The sequence below is a fragment of the Homo sapiens genome, chromosome 4 (assembly GCF_000001405.40).
Source record: "Homo sapiens chromosome 4, GRCh38.p14 Primary Assembly".
Lineage (NCBI taxonomy): Eukaryota > Metazoa > Chordata > Mammalia > Primates > Hominidae > Homo > Homo sapiens.
This window is the reverse complement of record NC_000004.12, coordinates 11750677-11774901: the sequence shown is the minus strand read 5'-3', so window position 1 is coordinate 11774901 and position 24225 is coordinate 11750677. Positions and strand designations below refer to the sequence as shown.

The window sequence follows — 24225 nt, the reverse complement described above, 5'->3', positions numbered from 1 at the left end:
ATTTTCAGCCTTAGACTTGTTTTAACCAATGTGCTCTTCTGACCCATTTTAGAGTCTACAGGGGTTGGGGAAGTTCAGCTCAGTTCATTCATTGATAGTTCTAAAGTGTATTCACTCCAAGAAGTAGTGTTAGCATTGGATGTGGGGCCTCATCTTGGAATGGGAAGAACTGGCTTCTTAAACTCAACTTGTGTTCTTTTCCCTGGGCAAGTAAAGCACAGTTCTAAGAGAACACAATGTGGAGGAAGGAAGGAGGAAATACTTTTCCTTTCTTGTGGATTGAGATCAATTAGTGGAACACTCTGCTTCTCTCTGTCTCATTACTCATTACATCATGGAAAAGTTACTGACTAATCTTAGAGTCAATTTAATCTTAGAGTCAATTGGGAAATAATAAACTACATTCTTGACATAATTTCTTTTTCTTTTTGGAGAGTCTGAAGCCTCTATTGCTTTTTGTCGTATGTTGCACAATTTTCTTTCCGTGGGAGCAGAGGCTTGTAAAGGGATAGCAATACCTGCAGATGGAAAAGTAAGGCTTTCTAATTTAAAGGCAGGAGCCAATAGCAGAGGGTCTAGCTGCATGAGGAATGCACTATGTCCTTCAAACTCTGCTTTCTCATTAATAAAGGTGATACCTTGCTTCCATCTAATGATAAACTAGTTTATTTTTGAGAATTATTTCTTCTGCACCATCAAACACACACGGTAGGGAAAATTTCAGGATCTTGTGCAGAAGGAAAAGGGCCTTAAATGAGTCAAACCTTGTTATCTGGGATGGATGTACCCACCTATGGGACAGTAAGGAGAAGGAATACAGGGTGGCTAGGATTACGTGGGGTGTGATAATTCAGGACACTCTTTCCATCTTGAAATAACTCTGAGTCAGCATCAATTGTCTTTGTGTGCCAAGCTTAAATGAGGCAATGCTGAAAATGGGGCTGGCTTGTTCCATTTTTGTGTGTGTGTGTGTGTGTGTGTGTGTGTGACATCACCCCAAACTGCTGTTTAGTGAGAAACGAATCCTGAATTCATTAATGCTTTTTATTCTTGCAAGCATTTCCCTATGGATCAAGTCCTGGGGAAGTTAGAGACAGTCCCCATGAGGCAGTTAATGGTGGGATAGCCTGGGACTATACAATTTATACAATTTTGTGAATCATGCCAGTGAAAACATTCAAAAATGTATCAGCCACCCTTATCAATCAAGACCTTTTTGGCTCAATTTTAAACTTACTTAGAGCAACGAGAAACTTTGTCCACCTTTGAACATGTTGAACTTCAGCTGATTGAGGTCTCCCATATTTTTCTAAGACAAGCAACAGTATCACCTCTTTTGTTGTAAACGTATTTCTCTTAACCAAGCATCCCACTAAAACCTTTCTGTGTGTCACAGTACTGATGTGTTCTCTATGTGAAACAGAAGGAGCACTGGCGTTCTCCTGGACTGGAGTTCTAGTCTGGACAGGGATACGTACTACAATATCTTTAAATTAATTTCCTGGCATCTTTAAGCCTCAGGACTCTGTTATGTAAACTGAAACATCACTGTAGCTTCATTTTGGTGATTACAAACAAACAGCCAGACTACCACTCTGAAGCCACCCTACCCATGCTCAAGTCCTGGTTCTTCCTCTTATTAGCTCTGAAGACCTTACCCAAGTTAAATAACTACTCTATGTCTGAATCTCCTCATCAGTATAATGGACATATCAAGTGTATTCCTATATCATAATGTTGTTCTAATAATAGGTGAGTGAATAAATTTGAAGTTATTAGAGTCGTGCCTGACATAATTAGTGAAACACAAGTGTTGTTATAACAGATAAAACCCTCAAATCTTTTGTTTGGAATATGAAGACTCTGCATTAATGAATTAATCTGTTTCTCAACATCCACTGCATATGTACTCTAGGGCAGGGGTCTTCAACCCCCTGGGCCACAGACTTGTAACTATCCATGGCCCGTTAGGAACCAGGACGCAGACCAGGAGGTGAGTGGCAAGTGAGTGAGTGAAGTTTCATCTGTATTTCTGGCCGCTCCCTCTTACTCACATTATCGCCTGAACTCCATCTTCTGTTATATCTGCCAGCCATGACACTAGATTCTCATAGGCGCATGAATCCTATTGTGGACTGTGCATGTGAGGGATGTAGGTTGCGGGCTCCTCATGAGAATCTAATGCCTGATGATCTGTCATTGTTTCCCATTGGCCCCAGAGGGAACTGTCTAGTTGCAGGAAAGCACGCTCAGGGCTTCCAATGATGCCACATTATGGTGAGTTGTGTACTTATTTCATTATGTATTACAATGCAGTAATAATAGAAATAAAGTGCACCATAAATGTAACGTGCTTGAATTGTCTTGAAAACAGTCCCCCCATCCCAGTCTGTGGAAAAATTGTCTTCCACGTAACCGGTCCCTAGTACCAAAAAGGTTGGGAACTGCTGCCTTAAAGAACACAATATTTGCTAAACATCATGAGGTTGCCCATGTCTAATCCATTGTTTTATTTCTAGTATCTATCCATGCTCTCTATGTAAATATATATATATTGAGTTAGTGAATTAATCTATGCCACACTAAAATTTACCCTTGATTTCTGTCTTTGTCAGAGACATTTATATTCTGTGCCTTTATGTTCATAAATGTTATTTTCTGGGTGTTCCTCTCCTACTTCTTTCCCAATATAACTCTGACCTGTTCTTCAAGGTCTAGTTCAAATGTCATCTGTTTAATTAAGATGCTTTATCTGGAAAGGGCATCATTGTTCTGAAGTGAGAAAGAAATGAGCAGAACTGTAGCAACGCTTTCCAAAATTTTGCTGGAATAGAGCCCAGCAACATGGAACAGTGGCAACAGGAAAATAAAGATGGGGTTTGTGTTCATCCTGAGGAAGGTTTGGGGGGCTTTAGCCTTGCCCCTCAAATCTCCTTTTTTCCATCCAGAAATTTTTGTTTTTGTTGCACTTATTCTTTGATGGAAAAGCCTAACAGTTTCCTTATTGCAAGTAGAGATCATAAAAATATGTTTAGAATATTTTTCTAACTTTCATGTTTGTTCTGTAATTCACATTCTAAGTTACAATGATGTATTTCATATGCACGTAGAGCAACATGACAAGTTCTCCAAATCCTGGTCCAATCCAAATGCTTACTCTTCACTCCTCCTATAAGGAAATTGTAGAAGCACCATTGCTTGAAGATGGGGAAAAAAAAAAAGTTAACACAGGAGAACTGGCACTATGTTTATCTATGCATTAAAACAAGAAAATGTATTTGCTTTCACATTACCCCTTTGACTTTTTTGTCAGAAAAGCATTAAAATCGTCGTTGTATAAATAAATTAGAAATGGAGGCACAGAGGTTGCAACAATTAAAAATAAAATTAAAAAAAGTAACGAGTTGAGTGCAGGGCAAAATTCTGAAACCTACTCTAATTATTACAAACTTGGTCTTTTATTCATGGTATCTTAATGTTAATGGAAAGTAATCTGTATATTTTAATTCCATGGCCAAGATAAAAGTGTTGCAAGTCCTCATTATTAATAACCACTCATGAATATTATGACAAGATTTAGTTTTTTGCCCTGTAGTTATAGTTGAGCTTCCACATTCAAGCTGGCCTTTAATTTCTTAAACACCATTTTGGCTATGGAGAAAAATATCAGAAAATCAGAAAAAAAATACAGCCTTAAGGGAAAAAAGTATAATTATAGTATTAACTCACAAGAAAGCTTTGTGCTATTAATCTGGAATCTGGGCCTTTAGCGCACATATCCTTATCATAAATACCCTTTTACACAGATGAAAAGTGCAGAAAACTGAAATCTGAAAAAGTCAATTATTCCTAAGCATTCTCCAAAAGGGAGAAAAGCCAGTGCTTTACACCAACTGGCAACTTATATGAGTCTACAATTGAAACTTTTTCACCGTTTAAGTTCTAGAACAGTGGACCCCAATCTTTTTGGCACCAGGGACCAGTTTCATGGAAGACAATCTTTCCACAGACTTGTGGGTGCAGGAGGATGGTTTTGGGATTAAACTGTTCCACCTCAGCTCGTCAGACATTAGATTCTCATAAGGAGTGTGCAGCTTCTATCCCTCACATGCACAGTGGGGTTCACACTCCTATGAGAATCTAGTGCCCTGCTGCCATTGATGTGATGGGAGGCGGAGCTCAGGTGGTAATGCTCTGCCTGCCTGCCACTTACCTCCTCCTGGGCAGCCCAGTTCCTAACAGACCATAGCTCCATATCAGTCCATGGCTCAGGGGTTGGGGACTCCTGATCTAGAAGGTATGAGCATGATAATATCCTTTTGAATTCATTCATATACCGAAAGCATATTATATGGCAGCTACTGTTTCAAATACATGGCACAGGATCCCCCACATCCATGTCTTTTCTATATGATTCTAAACTCACTGAACAGACTTTTTGGCAGAGTGGCGGAGGCCTGCTCATCTGACTCCAAGGACTTCCCAGGGATTTTCAAAGTGGGCACAAGGACACAGAAGCAAGCCCTTTTCCAACAGTGGCAGCTACAGGGCAAGTGACTCAAGGGATGGCAGTCTTCATGTATCCCAGCTTTTCTGGAAAAGGAGAGCATAAAATGGACATTCAAAGTCAGCAAATACAAGAAATATGAAGACAACTCTCTGGTAGTTATGGAAGTACTGGGATCCTTCCAGTTTTTTTTCTTTTTAAATATTTCAATTTGTGTTTATGTCTCTTTAAATCAAAACATGCCTTATTTATGCAAGAGTCTGGTAGTAGGAAAGAAAAAGCACTGTATCTTGTAGTAAGTGCAATAACAGAGAAAAATCTAGGGCACTGTGGGAGTTTAGAAAATATTTCTCGACACCAGCATTGAGGAAAACAATATTTACTAGAGAGGTGTGCTAAGTTATTATTTTTGTTTTGTTTCTATGTGTATTTATTTGTTTCAACGTTTTGTAGAGAAAATCTGGAGTTGTGGGTGGCAAAGTATACAAGATAGGCATGCTAAGGGCTTTAGGAAGAGGAGGAAATTATCAAGATAAGCCAGAGTCAAGAAAATATGAAACACAAGAAAATTCATAGTGATTGACAATGGTAAGCAGAGGCTCATGTTGAAGAGTAAGAGGAAATAAGCCTTTAAGACACTGTATCTGAGTTCTTAGTTTTAAGCACTGTAGATAAGTATGTGCTGGATCAAGCAAAATGGCTCACTTCCTTGAAATATGGGGAAATAAATCTGTGTAAGGATGGCTGGTCCAGCTGGTTTCCTGCCAATTCTTGGATGGGTCATCCTAGTCCAGAGTATCATGGAAAATTGTTCACACAGCTTGACTGATTGCTTTAAGGGTTTACACTTGTCTCAACTCAGAAATCCAAGCTCTCCCAGGACTGTTCTAACGGCAGTTCTAAAAGCCTCTTTGGTGTGTTGGAGGCCAGGTAGAGGTGAAGCTTCGCAGTGCTTGGACGTATACTCAACCATACGGAGAATATCAGCCTGTAGCAGGTAAATAAGAGCCCAGCACAGAAGAAAAGGCAGAGCTACAAGAAGACAGTGCCACATTATTTTCATTGGAATCTATGTACGCATCTATGCCTGAGGTAAGATCCACCTCATCCTTCTGAAATACCGTATTTTGATCAATTTGGCTCCATGGGGCTTCTGTTACTTGCAATGTAAAACTATACCAATTATACTCTGAAGCTAGAAAGTGTTTCTCCTATTGGATAAGTGCAATTCATGTTATAAAATTGATTTCTGATTTAAGAGCTAGGAGACAACACACATAACGTGCACCTGCTTACGTTGTGTCATAGATGAGAAAATTGAGAAATAAAGCAGGTAAGTAGCTTTCCCCATACAAGTTGAATTGGTATCAGAGAAATCCCTTCATTAGCAATTGGTAGGTATTCTATTTCACAAGTGTATACATGTGCCATTAACTATGCATGATTGCATATGTACATATATATGCACACATGCAAGTATATAAAAGGCAAAATTGTGTACTGTATATGTTTGTTATATAGTATGTTCAGACACACATATATAAAACCTAATGTAATTAGTACTATCTATCGACAATGACTTACTTGACTTCAGAGTGGTTACTTTGTACAGTGAGAACAGAGTAAATATATGTGGACTTTGGAATCACTAGGTATAGCTCGTTGGCCTGAAATGACACCAGGGCAGAGAGGGGCTTATTTCAGGGTAGAAGATCCAAATATATCACTTTATCTATTGCTCGTTTCAATAATTTAAATGTTGTTATTTCTTTGTTTCTTTAGGTATATGTTTCCATTTTACTTTTAGGATGACACACCAAGGTCTAGGCAATTGCTTAAGCTCGTTACTCAGGATGCCGTATCACTGCTGGCTAGAATATTTCTTTGGCAAGTCTTGTTACCATGTCCACCAACTTTATATAGCATACTTCGTTCAGATTTGGAAGCACTGTTACTGTTTTTTTTCCTCATTTAAGCAGCTTATGATTAGGGAGGCTGACAAGAATTTAACATGAGTAAGCCTCTGGCAGTGAGAACAGAACTTCTTAACGCTCAGCAGTTAGCACCAAAGACATCAGCACTTGACAATGGAATTAAACTGTCCTTTGACAACAAGAGTTTATGATGACAATCTATCTAATTGTTCTTTCTCCCAAAAATATAGAAAACTGTCCTGTCCTAGCTGCACAAGGAAGGAATAAAGAATATAAAAATCTTATTATGCTTCATGCCCGTTAGAAAACATTTTTAAAAATTAAAAAATTAAAAATGAAGCTCAAGTAACATTTAAAACACTCCAAATCCAATTGAAAAATATTTAGAGAGGTTGAATTTTTCAAAAGCTATAGAGACTTGATCATATAGTAGAGGAAAGAACAATAATTTTAGAATGAAATAGTCCTAGAATAAAAAACAATAATAAATCCTGGTTTTATGATGTTTTTATAATTTATCAGCATAATTTTCTAAGCATCAGTCACACCTCACATGTCTTAGAGTAGGATTCAAAATTTTGAGGCCTAGCAATTATATCATAAAAACATACAATATATCATAGAAACATATGTATTGAAAAGGAATGGAGGTAAGGAAAGAGGGGATGTTACCAAGTTGGTCAGTATTTGGTGTCAAGCTCAACGTATAACTCAAAAGCATTCTCAGGCTCTTCCAGATGCATGTGACAACCTCTTAGAATTGAAAGATGGTTTAGGCATCATCTACTATAGTGTTTCTACAAAATCCATGTCTAATGTGCATTATTGCTGGGCAGTGACAGATCCAATTCAATAATTTTATCTTCTATTTTATCTTCTATGTGAAGAAACAAAAAAATGGTAAAATAAATTGTTCAAGGTCACATGAAGTTTTTTCTCAGAACCGGTTTTAAATTAGGTCACTCTCCAATCTAAAGCCATTTTTCCTTTTTTTTTTTTTTTTTTTTTGTCTGAAGCAACATCTTCCCAATTAATCACTCTCTGTTCTTCTTGGACTCCACGTAGTATTCTAAAGAGCAAGGAGCAAGAATGGCTCATCTATTTATTGGAGGACCCAGTCTAGTGCCAATCATAGAGTAAAACATAAAGTGACTATTGTAGGTTGAAATGTTTCCCTAGAAAGCCCTATGTTGAAGGCCCCTAATACTTCAAAATGTGCCTTAATTAGGAAGTAAGGTCACTGAAGATATAATTAGGTAGGTTAAGAAGAGGCCATTCTAGAGTACAATGGGACCCTAATCTACTGTGACTGGTATTCTCATGTAAAAAGGAAATTTGGACATGAAGGTACACACATACACACAGAACACCATATGAAGATAAAGGCAGAAATAAGAATGATGCTTCTAAACAACCAGGAATACCTAAGATGGCTAGACAATTACCGAAAACTATGCAACGGCCATGGAATGGAATGTTATTCTGCCATATAAAAGCCGAACATTATAGAATATGTGACCACATGATGAACCTTGAGGGAATCAAGCTAACTGAAATAATATAGTCACAGAATAAGTGCTGTATGATCTCACTTACAAGTGGAATATAACAAAATCAAATTCATACAGGCAGATAGTAGAATGGTGGTTACCAGCCACGGATGGGGAGCAGGGGAAATGAGGAGTGGTAGGTCTGAGGATACAAACTTGCACTTATGTAGGGTGAATAAGTCTAGAGGTCTAAAGCATAGCAGAAGAATTATAGTTAATAATATTGTATTGCATGTTAGAAATTTACTAACAGTAGATTTCAGACACTTATATCACACATACACACAAAAAGAGAAGAGTAACTATGTAAACAGATGGATACGTTAGCATGATTCACTGTGGTAATCATTTCAGTATGTATATGGATATTAGAACATACAGCTGAAACATATACAACTAAACAGCGCATAACACACATAAGAAAAATAAGCATAGTTATATCTATCTGTATATTTTTTATACAAAGACGTCATTGGGCATGAAACCACATAGAAATCATGACAATAAGAGCACAATACACATAGATTAGTTGACTCTAGTTTTCTCATCTCTCCCTAAATTTGTATAATAACATTTTACTTTCAAATTTGTTTTAGTGGTTAAAAAAAAGTACACATGCAACATGCTTGACACTAGGAGAGTTATCAGAAATGGATAGCCTCTCAAATTCTGTCAATTTTGAAATGGAAAGGTGGTTCTGATCTTATTTGTGTGAATCTGGAAGCATCAGAATACTTCACATTCAATTTTTTTAGTTAGTTAGTTACTCCCAATTTGATAAAATGAGTTCATAGCATTTTGGGGAATGAGCTTACAGCCTTGACAACAGAGCGTCCAGGGAGAAATGCCCTCTAGTGGACGTTTTATCCCCACTCGGAGGATACCTGGGAGGATCTCTTAAGTGTCTCATTTTTTTCTCTAACACATTTTACAAGTTAAAAAATACATATATTTTCAGAACAGTCATTAATACATTAATTTACTTCTTGAAATTTACTATCTTCAGATAGATTAGATAGTGTTTTGATGAAATTATCTAAAACAAATTCTGGTAAAATACAGACTAGTAACTCATACATCTTGATTTTATCGCTGATTCTAAGGGTGACCTTCGGCAAAACCTGGTTTCTTCATATTTTTTTCCCCTACCTGAAACATGAGACCTCAAAATACCTGACATCAAGTAATCTAGCTGGAGAAATATCAACTTTGTGTCTAATCATATTACACTTGACTGTAAAGAGAAAATAAGAAGTCCCTTCTGTAATATTTACCTAGGTATATCATATACATGTAGTTTCAATAAGCAGAATAAATGTTGGATATATTAAATAGTCTAATGCAAAAATCCTGATTTGAAAGCAAGACTCCTTTTGTATATAATGTCATGTTTTATATTTCAGGGGAAAAAGAATAAAGATTTGAGAATCAAATTTTACCCTGGGGAGTCCCTGATATAATTCTAGTTTTCCCACTTCAGAAGATTAATCTTGAAAAACATAGGGAAAGAAAAAAATGTGTAAAGATGGCTTTAAATGTTTCAAAATAAGAATTTAGCTACAAGGACTGGCCTACAATTTGTTATTCAGAGTGCAAAAGAAGATATTTATGAGTTTAGAATATATTCCATATTTATAACATTTGTATATTTGTTATTTTATTCTTATTTCTATTTTGATTTACTTTTATCTTATATATAATATATGGTACCTATATATAACTTAGAAGAGTGAAAAAATATATAAAATATTTTGGTATGCATGCTTTAAATCTGATAGTTAAACACGATCATTGAGTCTTTCAAGCCCAGAAATAAATTTATACATTATACATACAGTCAATTGATCACCAATAAGGATGCCAAAAACACAAAATAGTGAAAGGAGAACATTTTCAACAAATTGTTTTGGAAAAACTAGGTACCCCCATACAAGAGAATGGAATTGGGCCCTTCACATACACAAAAATCTACTTAAAATGGATTAAAGACAAACATAAGACCTTAAATTATAAAACTACTGAAAAAACAATAGGGAAAAAACTATATGACATTGGTCTGGGCAATGCTTTTTTGGAATTGACCCCAAAAGCTCAGCCAACAAAAAACAAAAATAGACAAATGGAAATTCATCAAACTAAACTAAAAAGCTTCTGCACAGCAAAGTAAACAATAGAGTTAAGAAGCAATCTATACAATAGAAAAAAAAATTTATTTGTAAGCCATACATATGATAAGGGATTAGTATCCAAAATATATTAGAAACTCAGAGAACTCAATAGCAAGAAGACAACCTGATTAAAAAAAAAACTAGACAGAGGATCTAAATAGGTATTTCTGAAAAGAAGACATAAAAATGGCAAACGATCATGTAAAAAAATTCTAAACATCACTAATTAGGCAAATGCGAAGTGAAAGCACAATGAGATATTACTTCACACCCATCAGGATGGCTATTGTAATATATATAAAAAGACAATGTATTGGTGAGGATGTGAAAAGAATTTAAACATTTTAATACTATTGGTGAGAATGCTGACTGGCAGAGCCACTTTGGAAAATAAATAGTATGAAGGTTTCTCCAAATATTAAAAATAAAACTATCTTATGGTCCAGCAATTCCTTTTCTGTGTCTTTGTTTATATATACATATATACACACACACATTCAATAAATGATTGAAATAAGAATCTCAAAGAGCTATTAGAATGCCCATGTTCATTGCAGCACTATTTACAACAGTCAAGATATACAAATATTACTCAGTCATTAAAAAGAAATGAATTATGCATTTGTTACAGCATGAATTGATCTGGAAGACACCATTCTAAATGAAATAGCCAGTCTTAGAAAGGCAAATACTGTACGATTCTACTTATATAAGGTATCTACAATTTTCAGACTCAGAGAATCAGAGAAGAGAGTGGTAGTTGCCAGGGTCTGGGTTAGGGGAAGGAGGAGTTGTTATTCAAAGGTGTAAAGTTTCAATTGTGCAAAATGAATAAGTCATGCAGATTTTCTGTATAACATAGTGCCTGTAGTTAACAGTACTGTATTGAGTACTTAAAAATTTGTTAAAAGAGTAGACCAGACGTTAAGCATTCTTACCCCCCCCACCCCCCACCTCCACACAAAAGAGACATAAGAAAATTTTTAGTGGTGATGAATGCACTTGTACCTTGATTATACGGATAATATCACAGATGCATGTGCATGTCCAAACTCACCAAATTGTATAGATTAAATATGTGCAAAGTGTTTTGTTTCTTATCGATTATACCTCAATAAAGATAAAGAAAGAATGGAAGGGAAAGGGAGGGGAGGAGAGGGAAGGGGAGGAAATGGAAGGGAAAGGTGGAAAGAAGGAAGGAAAAGGAAATGATGGTAGCATTATGTGCAGGTGAAAGTTACCAGACTTTCAGAAGACAAGTAAGGTCTTCTCACTTGGAGATTTCTGAGAAAAAAAAAAAATTAGGAAATAAGTTTTAAGGAAATGTTAAGCAGAGTTGCACACTAATGTTACAGTTCAGTGAAACTGACAGCAAATCATCAGACATACAGTCATTTCCACAATACACAGACTAAGATTTTTATCTGAATATTTTCTGCTTTCAGTTTATATTTTACTTGATTATCTGCAACTTCGAATTTATCTAATGATATTTTAATCCTAATTCAACATTCCATAGTGTTACAACAACAAAAGATTGTGGCTCAGAAATAATAAAATCCTATAAAACAAGTACGGTAAAAAGTACCCTTTATGCCTAATGGGTCATTGTAATGTAAGCCCAAGTAGGCAGATTTAACAGGTGTTGTTTGATTGGCAATAGTCTTGTTCCCCCGCCCCTTTCCCTTGAGAGTGAGTGAGACTTTTTCTAGCTGCATTGGCCTACGTGCAGCATACTGGCTAAATTTTAGGGAAAAGTGTCCCTTCCTAGAAAAGGGAGCACAATTTGACCTCCATGTGATACATCACCCATGATAAATATGTATGTGTGCATATGCATATATATACAATATATATATATATATTTCTTGTTTAGACACATCTTATCAGACAATGTCAAATAATCATGAGCCCTTTGATAAAATATTAAAATGTTAATCTTTAAAACTTTTACGGAAAATATGAAGGAAAGGGAGAAGAAATAAACAACAGTATTCATTAATGTTTAGTTGTTATGCGTTTGTCCTTAATATTTTCTTTGGGGTATGTTCACAATTTGAAATTTCACTTTCCATGGACAAACTTTAACCACATCTGGCATGTGTGTCTTCCAAATGAAAAGCAGTAGATGTTTGTTTGTTTCTTTTCTATCACATTAGAAGACACGAGATATTTGGAGACGAAATATCATTATGATCGTCTCTGAAAGCTAAATACATATCCAAAAATGTTGATTGTAAAAAGCATTTGGGTGGCCAATGTTCCAATAACTTGATTAGTCTGGGAATGCAAGCTAATGCTTATGAGCACTGTAAAATTAAATTCTAAATAGGTGTATTGTTAATTCTTATGATAATATCACTACCAGTTTCCCTATGTGTACTGTTGTGGTGAGAAAATATAAGATTTTTCTTAAAAAAGAATGTTCAGAGACTCTCTTAGGTTAAATTAAACATTTCTATAGAAAAACTGATGTTAAGTTCATTGATTTTTATTTCATGACAGAAATGATGTCAAGGTCCCATTTCAAGGCCCTCATACTTGCTGTTCCAACTGTCTGGAATGTTCTCATTCTCAAATACATCTAACTCTTTCCTTTGGCCCTCCAAGTCTCTTCAAATGTTACCTTTCTCATAAGTCTTCCCTGTATACCTTGCCTAAATGTACTACCTTGTACCCCAATATTACATGTGTCCTACTGTTCTATGTTATCATTTATCACTACCTACCAACCTATTATCTATCTTGCTTGTTTACTATGCTAATGATAGGTTGTGTTCTGTCTGCCTCCTCCACAAGGAAGAAAGCTCACAAAAGAGAGACATTTGTTTATTGTGTTCACTGTTATATCTCCACGTTCTAAACTAAGGCCTGGCATATAATTGGGGCTTAATAAATGCTTTTTGAATAGTACATATAATTTTATTTATTTCTCACAACCAAGAAAAGTAGATAGATATTATCTGTGCCCTTAGCTAAATAAACAGAGGGCCCAAAGATAGTAAATAACTTGCTCCAAACCTCAGAACAAGGAATAGTCTTTCTCTGAGAGATTAAATATGTAAAAGGAGAGTGAGGAAGCTGGATGACACAGCTGAGGTGGGCTAGGAAGGGAGGTCAGACCTGTTACATGGTTACTCAAGGAGTCAGGGAGACGTCAATGGAGAGAAAGCAGGAAAATGAATTTTAGATCTTAGCAGAGATGGACAGAATTACAATGCATCATCTATGGACAGAGGGAGTTCCTGGAAGATGGAGATGTTCAAGGACGATGTGAATAATCAGAATTCAGGGCTGTTGCAGTGATGATTATATTCTGAGAAGGAACATGGATCAGATGTTTTTTAAGGACCCTGCACGATTTCCAAATATAAATTTTTAATAACACTTGGCTGCCAATGACGCCAATTACTAAGCTTCTCTGGAAAAAGAAAGGCTGGGATTTCCAATAGAAGTAACAAAAAAATCACGTTGTTCTATTTTGAAAAACTAAATTATAGCTCCAAGGAGAAAGCTTGGGGATGATGGAAATAGGCTTCACAGAGCAACTACTGTACCAAACACTGTGCAAGTCACTCCACTCACATTTTCTATTTTTCTGCATATCACCATTTCAAATGAGGATCCTAAGATTAGAAGTCAAATGATCTGCTCCAGGTGAACACAGTGAGAAAAGTGCAGATGTAAGACCCAAGGAGCCTTTCGACTCACTCCCAACTCTGTATTTTGCCAACTATGTTCTAGCTAGATTTGTTAAAAATAGGAAATAAATTAGTTCAAAAATATAGATAAATGAACAGAGAACAACTTAAGAGTACTTTTGTGGCTCAGATAAAGAAATCTGAAACTTAATAAATTAGCTTTGCTTATCTTAGAAAAACAATTTAAAAGTATTTAAAACCACTTGTGATGATGAGTTCTGAACTTGTGCTAAGCAGCATTGAAACAAGCATGCAGCAGTCAACCTGCATTGGCCATTTTTTTCCATGTTAGAAGTTGAAAAATGGTTATGTTTCAGAATAAAACATTCCAGTATATTCATAACTTACTGCATATTTTTAAAAGATAGGTAACTTGGTGGATTGACTCATTTGTTTATTACTCATAATTTTGTTTTAATATATCACCATGTTTTATACAGCTTTATGTTTGTCTTTTGAATTTTTTTAATCATAGAAGAAGAAATGAGTCTATGGAACTGTAGAAATTAGAAAAAAAAATCCTAATTTACTATTCTTAAAATCTTTGCTCTCCAGGAATAAACTGTGTTTATCAAGCAACTTGGCATGGATTTATTAGTCAGCTAATAATGCAACAACAACAAACAGTTACATAGTATTTGTTCCATGGCTACACTTTCCTATGTAATTAATTTAATCTTCACTTCCAATACAACATGCTATTGTATTTCCACTTAATAACAGTGGAAACTGTGGCAGAGGTGTTAAGTAATGTGCTCAAGGATGAACAACTAGTGTTACATTTAGCACTGGACTAGAAATTTGGGGGAATTAAAAAACTATATTTTAGATGTATCACCCATCCTTAAAAAATAAAAAAATCTGAACTATTTGATTATTGAGTCAATTAATACATGGGTGAATGAAAGGATCAATAAATTACATAATAAAAGAGCCAAAGAACAATGTATATTATATGACCAAATGCTATCTTTGTGGTTATTAAATTGATTTTTTTGGAAATCTACAGACAAAGGAATACAGAGTAGAATTGTTATTTAAGGGAAATGAAATATTAAGCTTTAGAAAAGCAGAAGTAATCTAATTAATTTAACAAATACTTATTATTCACATCATGCTGGAGAGTCATTGGACTACATTTTACAGCTATAGAAACATGTGTGGTATGTCCTAAACATCTTTCTAGTGGGAGAGAAAGATTGTAAACAAATAATTGCAAGAAGGTTTGGTTTAGGCGATGGTAGAATACCAATAAGATGTAGAAGTCTTACAGAAGAGAAAGGCAAGGCTGAGTGTTTTTTTAAATGTTGATAGAAAATGCATAGGGATAACATCTGTAATTAAATTCAAATTACCATTCATGGCAAAGAGTTCTTGTGCCAGTGTCCCCGTGCTTTAAATTTGCTTGAACTCATTTTTTAAACTTCAGTGAATGTTACAACTGAATGTTGTATACACCCCATAAATAGGAAATGGACCTTAGATTAGTTTTGTTTTTTGTGAAGCCAAATGGTGTCTCTGTCATTAGAGTAAATTAGTGCTCTAAGATTATTTATTTAACTAGAAAAATATGCAGATGCCAAATTTTCACATGAACATTATCAACAAAAACTGCTGATCTAATTTCACATTTCAGAGAATCTATCTATACCAATGGCACAAGAAGGACTATTTTAGTAAGATAAACATCTTTTGTAATTGAATTTCCCTTGTAGATCTGTTTTTATATATTTGTATATTATTCATCTTTTAAGAAAGTAGGAGATTACTGAGATTTAGCATTTTAAGTGGTGATGTGTCTAGGGAACTCAGAACAAATGTCAAAAGTGACACCAGTCTAAGAGCACAATTACTTGCTTAATGACTCATAATTTGTGTCCAGCAATACATGCTGTGATGGATGGAAGTGTTAAACACTTATAGTGAAGATTTCAGATGATACCACCACAACAAAGGGCATTTAGATAAGTCCAGGAATCAAAGGACTTTAACTGGTCATCAAAAATTGAAACGGCAGTTGATGAAGATTCAAAAAGTGCAGAAATTAAAATAAAAAAAACTCCAAAGATTATCAGACAATATAGCATCCAGGAATGGAATTAGAGTGGCATAGAAAATAATTATCATGTCAAGTTCTATTGTGGGATTACATTTCTGTTATTAAACCAATTTGGTCCTTCTTTGAATCCATAATGCTCATTTTGAAATCAATTATGTAGTTTTAAGGGAGATAGAAATGAAGAAAGGGAATGACATTTTTTAGTTACAACTAAATTTCAACAAAATTCTATGCTTTTGACAATGCGATGAGTTAAATGTGAACACTCTCCTCAAGAGAAAGAACACATTTGAGTACATCTTTATTGGATACACATAGAGTATGCACAATATTATCTTACAACTTGTGTATCCTTCTTATATATGCTAACATATTGTATGTATGTGGACCATTTATGAGTGAAACCAAACAATGACTAATTATTTACTGGGGAGCAAGTTCATACAGTGGACCTTTTCTGTACAGATTCACTGAATTCCTCCTTTGCATGCAAAACAGCCCATAATCAGGTGCCAGAATAGTTAACTGAGAGTCTACCTATCAAGAGTGCAGAACCAACTAGAAATTGTATTTCAAATCAAAAGGATATTGCTAATTGTCATATTGCTAACTATGTGCACTTTTTCAATATGAATACTTAAGCCTCATTTTCCTTCTTTCGCTCTTTTTTTTTTTGAGACGGATTCTCCCTCTGTCACCTAGGCTGGAGTGCAGTGGCTCGATCTCTGCTTACTGAGACCTCTGCCTCCTGGGTTCAAGTGATTCTACTGCCTCAGCCTCCCAAGTAGCTGGGATTACAGGTGCGCACCACCATGCCCAGCTATTTTTTTTTTTTTAATTTTTAGTAGAGATGGGGTTTCAGCATGTTGGTCAGGCCAGTCTCAAACTCCTGACCTCGTGATCCACCCGCCTCAAACTCCCAAAGTGCTGGGATTACAGGTGTGAGCCACTGTGCCTGGCCTCATTTTCTCTGGAAATAGCCTGAATAGCTATCTAGGATAGCTGGGATGTAGCTAACTTATCCCATTTTGGAAAGAGCTCTTCGATAATCTAGTTGGTGGCTTTCCTCAATTTACTTAATTTTGCTGCTTTCAGCATCATATTGTTAAAAATAGAGTTTCAGAATACCCACCTTTCAAAGTGATACCTAGTTCACTAATTAGCACAAAGTCCCTCTCCAGCTGTTCCTTTTCTGTTTTTGCTGAATCTAATACCAAAGCCCTTACAACTCACAGCCAGTGTAAGAAGCCGTCAGTTTCTAAGAGAGAGCGATCCAAAGATTCCCTGAAATGACTATAGAGCAATAAAAATGAACACAAGTATGGGATTCCAAATAGGGGTTTGCTTATTGGCCCTTCTGAAGGGACTCTAGTTTATTTCCAAGGGACCTTGGAAAAACAAGTGGACTCAATCTCTGCTCACTGAATCCTCAGCATACTATCTATGTAGACTCTCCATTCTGCTTTTACCCTCCACTTTGTAAAATGTCCTTCATAAACAGGACATGTCCAGTAGAAACATCCTATGGAAACATGTCCTATAGAAACATCTTTGTTTACTTGTTCCTCACAGAGATTAAAAGGGAGGGAATCAATATACCTTCATTCTAGTTTATCAAAACTAAACATGCACTAAATTGTACCTTTAGGAAATAGAAGAGGAGTCTTAGACTAACTCAAATTTTCCTTTGACATGTTTCTTCAAACATGCAGAACTTTTCCTGAGAGTGAAGTGGCAGCCTATTTGGATAATAATAGAATCATTACAGGCCAATATTTATAATGTGCCTGCACTTTACAAAAGAACTTTTGAATGATCAGGGAAAGCAACAGAATGCATTGTCAAACTGTGCACTAAAAAATAAAAAATGTTTAACAGTAACTCAAAAGCCAAGTGTTCTCATGTCTAAAGATGGATTTCCTTGTCAACTCAGTACCCTGGGCCCCTTAAGCAGTAGCAGTAAGCACAATTTATTAATCAATTGAAGGGTGAGAAAGGCCATTGCTAACAATGTGTCTTAAACGATAAGGTATATTCATTTAGCTTCAAGTAAATTCTAATGTCCTTACATGTTATAATTCAACCTATGGAATCTTTATTGGTACCTCTACAAAGAAAGAATCAAGTAAAAAATGTAGAAAGATATTCTTATGTTTCAAAGAATAAGAAGAGCAAACACTGTGTGTGATTATCTGGGTACATGTAATACTGATAAATGAATTTTTAATGGTTGCATTTGCAGTATCATCTATGTATGTATGTATATTTCCACTTAAATACTTATGATTTTTGAGTGGAGAATCAAAGTGTATTAAAACTCATTAAGAGGTCAGAAAATTCTGGTTTAAGATCTAACCCTGATAACAACCACAAACTTCTGAAAAAAGCAGTTAATCTCCCCTTTGCTCACCTTCCACCTATGCCAGGCTTTCCTGGAACTTTCAACAGTGTCCCTTCAAAACAAGACCAGTTCACTCCTTGAAGTGCTAAGAAGCTCCCTGCACTAGGAACCACCAAACATAAAATGTAACCCATCTCTTGCACTCTTTCCTATTTTTCCCTGTGACTATGAAAGTACTGTCGTTTGTATTATTTTCCCATCGCTACATAACAAATTAGCACATAAATAAATTCTTAAAGCAGCACAACTCCTTATTGTCTCTAAATTTTCCTGTGTCAGAATTTCTGGGATGTCTAGCTGGGCCCTCTGCTTCAGTATCTCACTGGTCTTGCTCGAGTAAGATGTTGTCTGGGGCTGAGTTTTCACAGCCAGTTCCAAGCTCATTTGGTTTGTTGGTAAAATTAATTGCTTGTGGCTAAAATGACTGTGGGCCTGAGCTTCCTGATGGCTGTTGACGTGACACCAGGGGCCTCTTTCAGCTCCTAGAGAGTGGCTATAGTTCCTTGCCATGTCGCCCTCTTGATATGATGTCTACCTCAAAAAACCTTACTCTTTCAAAGCCGCCAATGTGTAAAGACTCTTCACAGGAAGGTCTAAGTACCTCTTTAAGGACTTTCACCTGATTAAGCCAGGCCCACTCAGGAGGACCTCTCTGGATAAAATAAACTGATTGTCTACAAATAAGAATAACTTTGTTGCTTTCTTCTTGTTTCCTATGTAGTTAATTTACATTTTTAACTCATTTTATTACATAGCAACTCAAATATAATATTGAATACATTTGTGGTAGTACCTTTTTAATTTTTGTTCTTGTTTTTGACTGGAAATAAAGTACAGTGCTTCTAAGCATCAAAATGTGTATGTTTGCTTTTGATTTTAAGTAATCGTCATTACGTTTAGAATGTTTATCTTTCTGCTATTAGTTTGTTGTGTGAATTTTTGAAAACACCAAGGAGTATAGATTTTTTTAGTATGTTACTTGCACCTATAAAATGACTTACTCTTTAATACCTAATGTGATATAATTAATATATTTTATGATCTTGACCATATATATATATGTCCTTGTGATAAACGCCACCCCATATTTAGTGTATTTAGAAATTTCTAATATTTTTTCCTACATATGCAAGAATTTTGCCCATAATTTCAGTTCCCATTCGTCACTTATTCTATTTTGGTTTTAATAACTAAAATGAGTTGGAAATTTTCTTCTGTCTCTATTAATCTAAAATGGTTTTACATGATAAAAATTACCTAGTTTTTGAAATTTTATAAAAGCATCAGAAGCTGGTATTAATATTAAAATTCTTTTAGGTCGTATATTTCTTCTAAAATCAATTTGTGTTGTGTTGTTTGCTTGTTTTTTAGTTTGGTATTTCACTTAACTGGAATACAGTTGTTCATGTTTTAAAATTTTTTTAATCTTTTTTTAATTTTATTATTATTATACTTTAAGTTTTAGGGTACATGTGCACAATGTGCAGGTTAGTAAAGTTTTGTTTTTTCCTCTATTTATTTATACCTTTTCTTTTTTTTCCTTTTTTTTTTTTTTTTTTTTTTGAGACGGAATCTTGCTCTGTTGCCCAGGCTGGAATGCGGTTGCACGATCTCGGCTCACTGCAAGCTCCACCTCCCGGGTCCACACCATTCTCCTGCCTTAGCCTCCTGAGTAGCTGGGACTACAGGCGCCCACCACCACACCCGGCTAATGTTTTTTGTATTTTTAGTAGAGATGGGGTTTCACCTTGTTAGCCAGGATGGTCTCAATCTCCTGACCTCATGATCCACCCGCCTCAGCCTCCCAAAGTGCTGGGATTACAGGCATCTGTTTTATTTGATTAGTCCTGAGAAAAAAAGTTATCTATTTTGCAGTTAGTCCAGAGTTGATTTTATGGTTTTTAACTTTCCTTGTTGTTTTATTTTCTATTTAGTTTATGTTTTTTCTCCTATTTCACAATTTTCTTCTTTTCAATATCATCATGTTTATTCTGTTTGTTCTTCTGAGCCTTTACAGCTGAAGTGCAACCTCCTCTTTTTCTTCTCCCATCTACTCCAACTCCTCTTCTTCCTCCATAACTTTCTTCCTCCTCCTTTTCCTCCTCCTCCTTCTCCTGCTCTTCCTCCTTCTCTTTCTTCTTCTTCTGCTTCTGCTTCATTTTTGGCTCAGAATATTTAGGGATACTCTCTTATTCTTTGACAGTATTTAACTACATATTTCAGATTTTGATATGTAGTGTTTTTAATTGGAATTCAGATTAATGTATTTTCTAATTTCAATTGCTCTTTTCTCTTTATCTTATAAAATTTAAAATAATATAGTTTAGTGTTTTTTCTAATTCAATTGAACTTTGCTCAGAAGATGTGATTTATGAAATTTTAATCTTTAGAAAATAAATGAGCCTTACCTTATAATGTATTTTGTGACCACAATTTACAAATGTTGCTTTAAAAAAATACTTTTTTCCTTGTGTGAATTTTCTCTCTTTTCTCCCTCTCTCTGTGTGTGTATTAGTCCATTTTTGTTGCTATAAAGAAATAACTGAGCCTGGGTAATTTATAAAGAAAAGAAATTTAGTTGGCTCATAGTTCTGCAGGCTGTACAGGGAGCATGGTGCCAGCATCTACTCAGCTTACGGTGAGGCCTCAGGTAGCTTTTACTCGTTGTGTAAAGTGAAGCAGGAGCAGGCAGTCATATGGCAGAAGTGAGAACATGGGAGATGGGGTTAAAGAGAGAAAGGAAAAGGGGAAGATCCCAGACTCCTTTAAACAATCAGATCTTGTGTAAACAAACTGAAGGAGAACTAACTCATTACCAGGAGGATGGCTCTAAGCTATTCATGAAGGATCCATCCCTATGACCCAAACATCTCCCACCAGGCCTCATGTTCAATATTAAAGATCACATTTCAACATGAGATTTGGAGGGGACAAACATACAAATCATATCATTATCTCTCTCCCCACTTCTCTCTTTATCAATCCCTCCCTCTTTGTCAATCTTAGCCTTGGCCTTCAGATTTTACCACTTGATTTTTCACATTTTCTGTATTCTTAATGATCATTTTTGCCTGCTTGACCTAACCATTTCTAAAAAGGTTTTATTTACAAATGTTCAGGATTATGTTATGGTGATTCTTAAAAATATGTCTTTGTAGTTGACATAGTACCAAAAAGAGAGGATTGTCCAAGGCTCATGGTTTCTAAAGTGAGAAAAGAGAACCACATCTAGTCTTTCTCATGTTTTGAGACACTTCTCAGAAAGCCAACTTTGGCCTCACTGTACAGGAAAAGAAGGTGTAACAGCATAGGCAGAATATCTGAGGCCAAGTGGAAACAAAGCAAGATGGTAGAGCCCATAGCAGTCAGCACACAGATCTTTGTGGTGGCCCTGTGTACCTGCCAGTGGTGGTGCTCAATCAGAGTAACTAGTGAACAGCATAGCCCACCTGGAAAACTGAGCTGGTGGCTCCCATAATTTATAGGATCTGGCTTGAATATCCCAGCCAAGAGGCCCAACTACTAGCCCTACTCCAAGCCTCTGCCCAGCAAGACTGATGCTCACCACAGGGCAATTTGGCAAAGAGCAGGGATTTTCCCAGACCCAGGAGTTTAAATGGTGCTCAGGTCGTCTTCAAAGCTCAACCCAAGTCCCCACCTAGGCAGGGAGGTAAACCTCAACCATGCATCTCTATCAAGCATAACAGCTGGTCTTATTTGTCCAAAGAGGGAACTCCATTTACCCTTGGGGCCCAGCCTGTAACTCTGTCCAATTTCAGATCTTAAATATCAATACCATCTGTCAAGGGAATACACTCTGTCGCTTCGCCCAATCAGAGTCAACTACAGTTCCCAGCCATCAGCTCTGCTTGATTGCAGAATTAAATCAGTCATCTCACCTGACAAGGAGGCCCAGGGTTCAGTTCCACCTAGAATCACAGCCTATATTAAACAGTAAAGTCTATCTCTGCCAAGAAAATAGAAAACCTTGTAAAACCTGAAAGAAGTGGCTATCTCCCCAATTGTGGAGAATTCAAGGATTACAAACATCCAGGAAATCATGACACCTATAAAACAAAGTTCCAACATTGAGCCCTAAAAAATTGATACCTATGAAATAACAGACAAATAGTTTGGAATTAATCCTCTTGAATGTAGTAAACTATAAAATATGTGGATATAAAATTAAAGGAAATGTAAAAAATAATACATACACAAATCATGAGTTTAACAAATAAATAGAAATTAAAAAAAAAAAAGAGGCCAGGTGCAGTGCTTTATACCTGTAATCCCAGCACTTTCAGAGACTGAGGCAGGCAGATCACTTGAGATCAGGAGTTCCAGACCAATCTGGCCAACATGGCAAAATTCCATTTCTACTAAAAATACAAAAATTAGCTGGGCGTGGTAACGTATGCCTGTAGCCCCAGCTACTCAGGAGACTGAGGCACAAGAATCGTTTGAACCCAGGAGGTGGAAGTTGCAGTGAATTGAGATGGTGCCGCTGCACTCCAGCCTGGGTGACAGAGTGAGACTGTGTCTGAAAAAGAAAAAAAAAAAAAAAAGAAATCCTAGGGAGGTAGAATACACTAAGTAAATGAAAAAACGCATTAGAAAACTTCAACAGCAGGTGCAAACAGGCAGGAGAAAGAATCAGTGAGCTCAAAGACAGAACATTTGAAATTATCCAGCCAGAGGATCAAAAGAGTGAAAAATAATAAAGAAAGTCTATGAGAATTATAGGACATCAACAAAAGATCTAATTTTTATATAATAGAATTTCCAGAAGAAAAGCAAGAAAAGGTCCAAAGGGGAATATTTAAAGAAATAATAGCTAAAAACTTCCCAAATCTGATGCCAACATCCAAGTACAGAAAGCGAAGAGGTCTTCAATCCAAAGAGGAGTTTACTAAGGCACGTCATAATCAAACTACAAAATCTAGGGACAAAAAATTCTGAAAGCTGAAAGGGATAAAAAAAAAAATCACAAAAAAGGGAGTCTCAATAAGACTACAGATTTTTCAACGGAAACCCTGGAGGACAGAAACAAGTGGGATGATATATTCCAACACATCCTGAAGGAAAAAAAAATGCCATGCAAAAGTATTTTATTCAGCTAAGCTGTACTTCATAAATGAGGGAGAAATAAAAACATTCCCAGACAAACAAAAGCTAAGGGAATTCATCAACACTAGGCCTGCCTTACAGACACTACTAAAGGAAGTTATTCAAACTATGCACAGGCCACTAATTAATAACATAAAACATATAAAAGTGCAAAATTCAATGGCATAAGCAATACAGCATCCTATTCGGAACACCCTACACTGAAAATGGTAGTGTGTAAAGGAATTTCATCTCTACTGTGATGGTTAATAGACAAATCTATTAAAAGAACTATAGCTAAAATTAATTGGCAGAGAACAAAAGTTACAAAATAATGTAAATTTTGACATTAAAAATGTAAAATATAAGGGGGAATAAAAGTATAGTGTTGTCATATGAGATCAAAGTTGACTTACTATCAGCTTGAAATAGCCTGTTACATGTTTTATGTAAATCTTAAGGTAACCACAAAATAAAAATATATAATAAATATTAAAAACATAAGTAAAATGATTCAAAGCATATCACTACAGAGACCCATCAAACCACAAAAGGATACAACTAAAGAACAATAAGGACATTACATATATACAAAATAACCAGAAAACAAATCACTAAATGACAATAATAAGTTCTTCTCTATGTGCTTGAAAGTAAATTGAATAAGTTCCTTAATAAAAAAGACACAGGGTAGCCAAATACATAAAATAAATAAATGAAAATAAAAAAGACCAAATAGTCAACTATATGCTGTCTATAAGAAACTCACCTCATCTTTAAGGACATACGTTGACTGAAG

The 24225-nt window shown here is 35.7% G+C and overlaps 2 long non-coding RNA genes across 4 annotated transcripts in view; one reads left to right on the top strand and one right to left on the bottom strand.

Annotated features, from left to right (window-relative positions):
• The window catches only part of LOC107986178 (uncharacterized), a 245894-nt gene that overhangs the window by 14965 nt on the left and 206704 nt on the right, over positions 1-24225 (bottom strand). The window contains exons 3-5 of one of the 3 annotated variants that reach the window (NR_188483.1): positions 4427-4593; positions 4214-4290; positions 1027-3197 (exon numbers count right to left, since the gene is read on the bottom strand). This is a non-coding gene — a long non-coding RNA (uncharacterized LOC107986178). Of the gene's footprint in view, positions 1-1026; positions 3198-4213; positions 4291-4426; positions 4594-6091; positions 6175-24225 lie in introns of those variants that run through there. The other 2 variants (NR_188484.1, NR_188485.1) reach the window with 2 other exon arrangements.
• LINC02360 (long intergenic non-protein coding RNA 2360) overlaps positions 5434-24225 on the top strand; it is a 28518-nt gene continuing 9726 nt past the window's right edge. The window contains exon 1 of the long non-coding RNA NR_146995.1: positions 5434-5599. This is a non-coding gene — a long non-coding RNA (long intergenic non-protein coding RNA 2360). The remainder of the gene's footprint in view (positions 5600-24225) is intronic.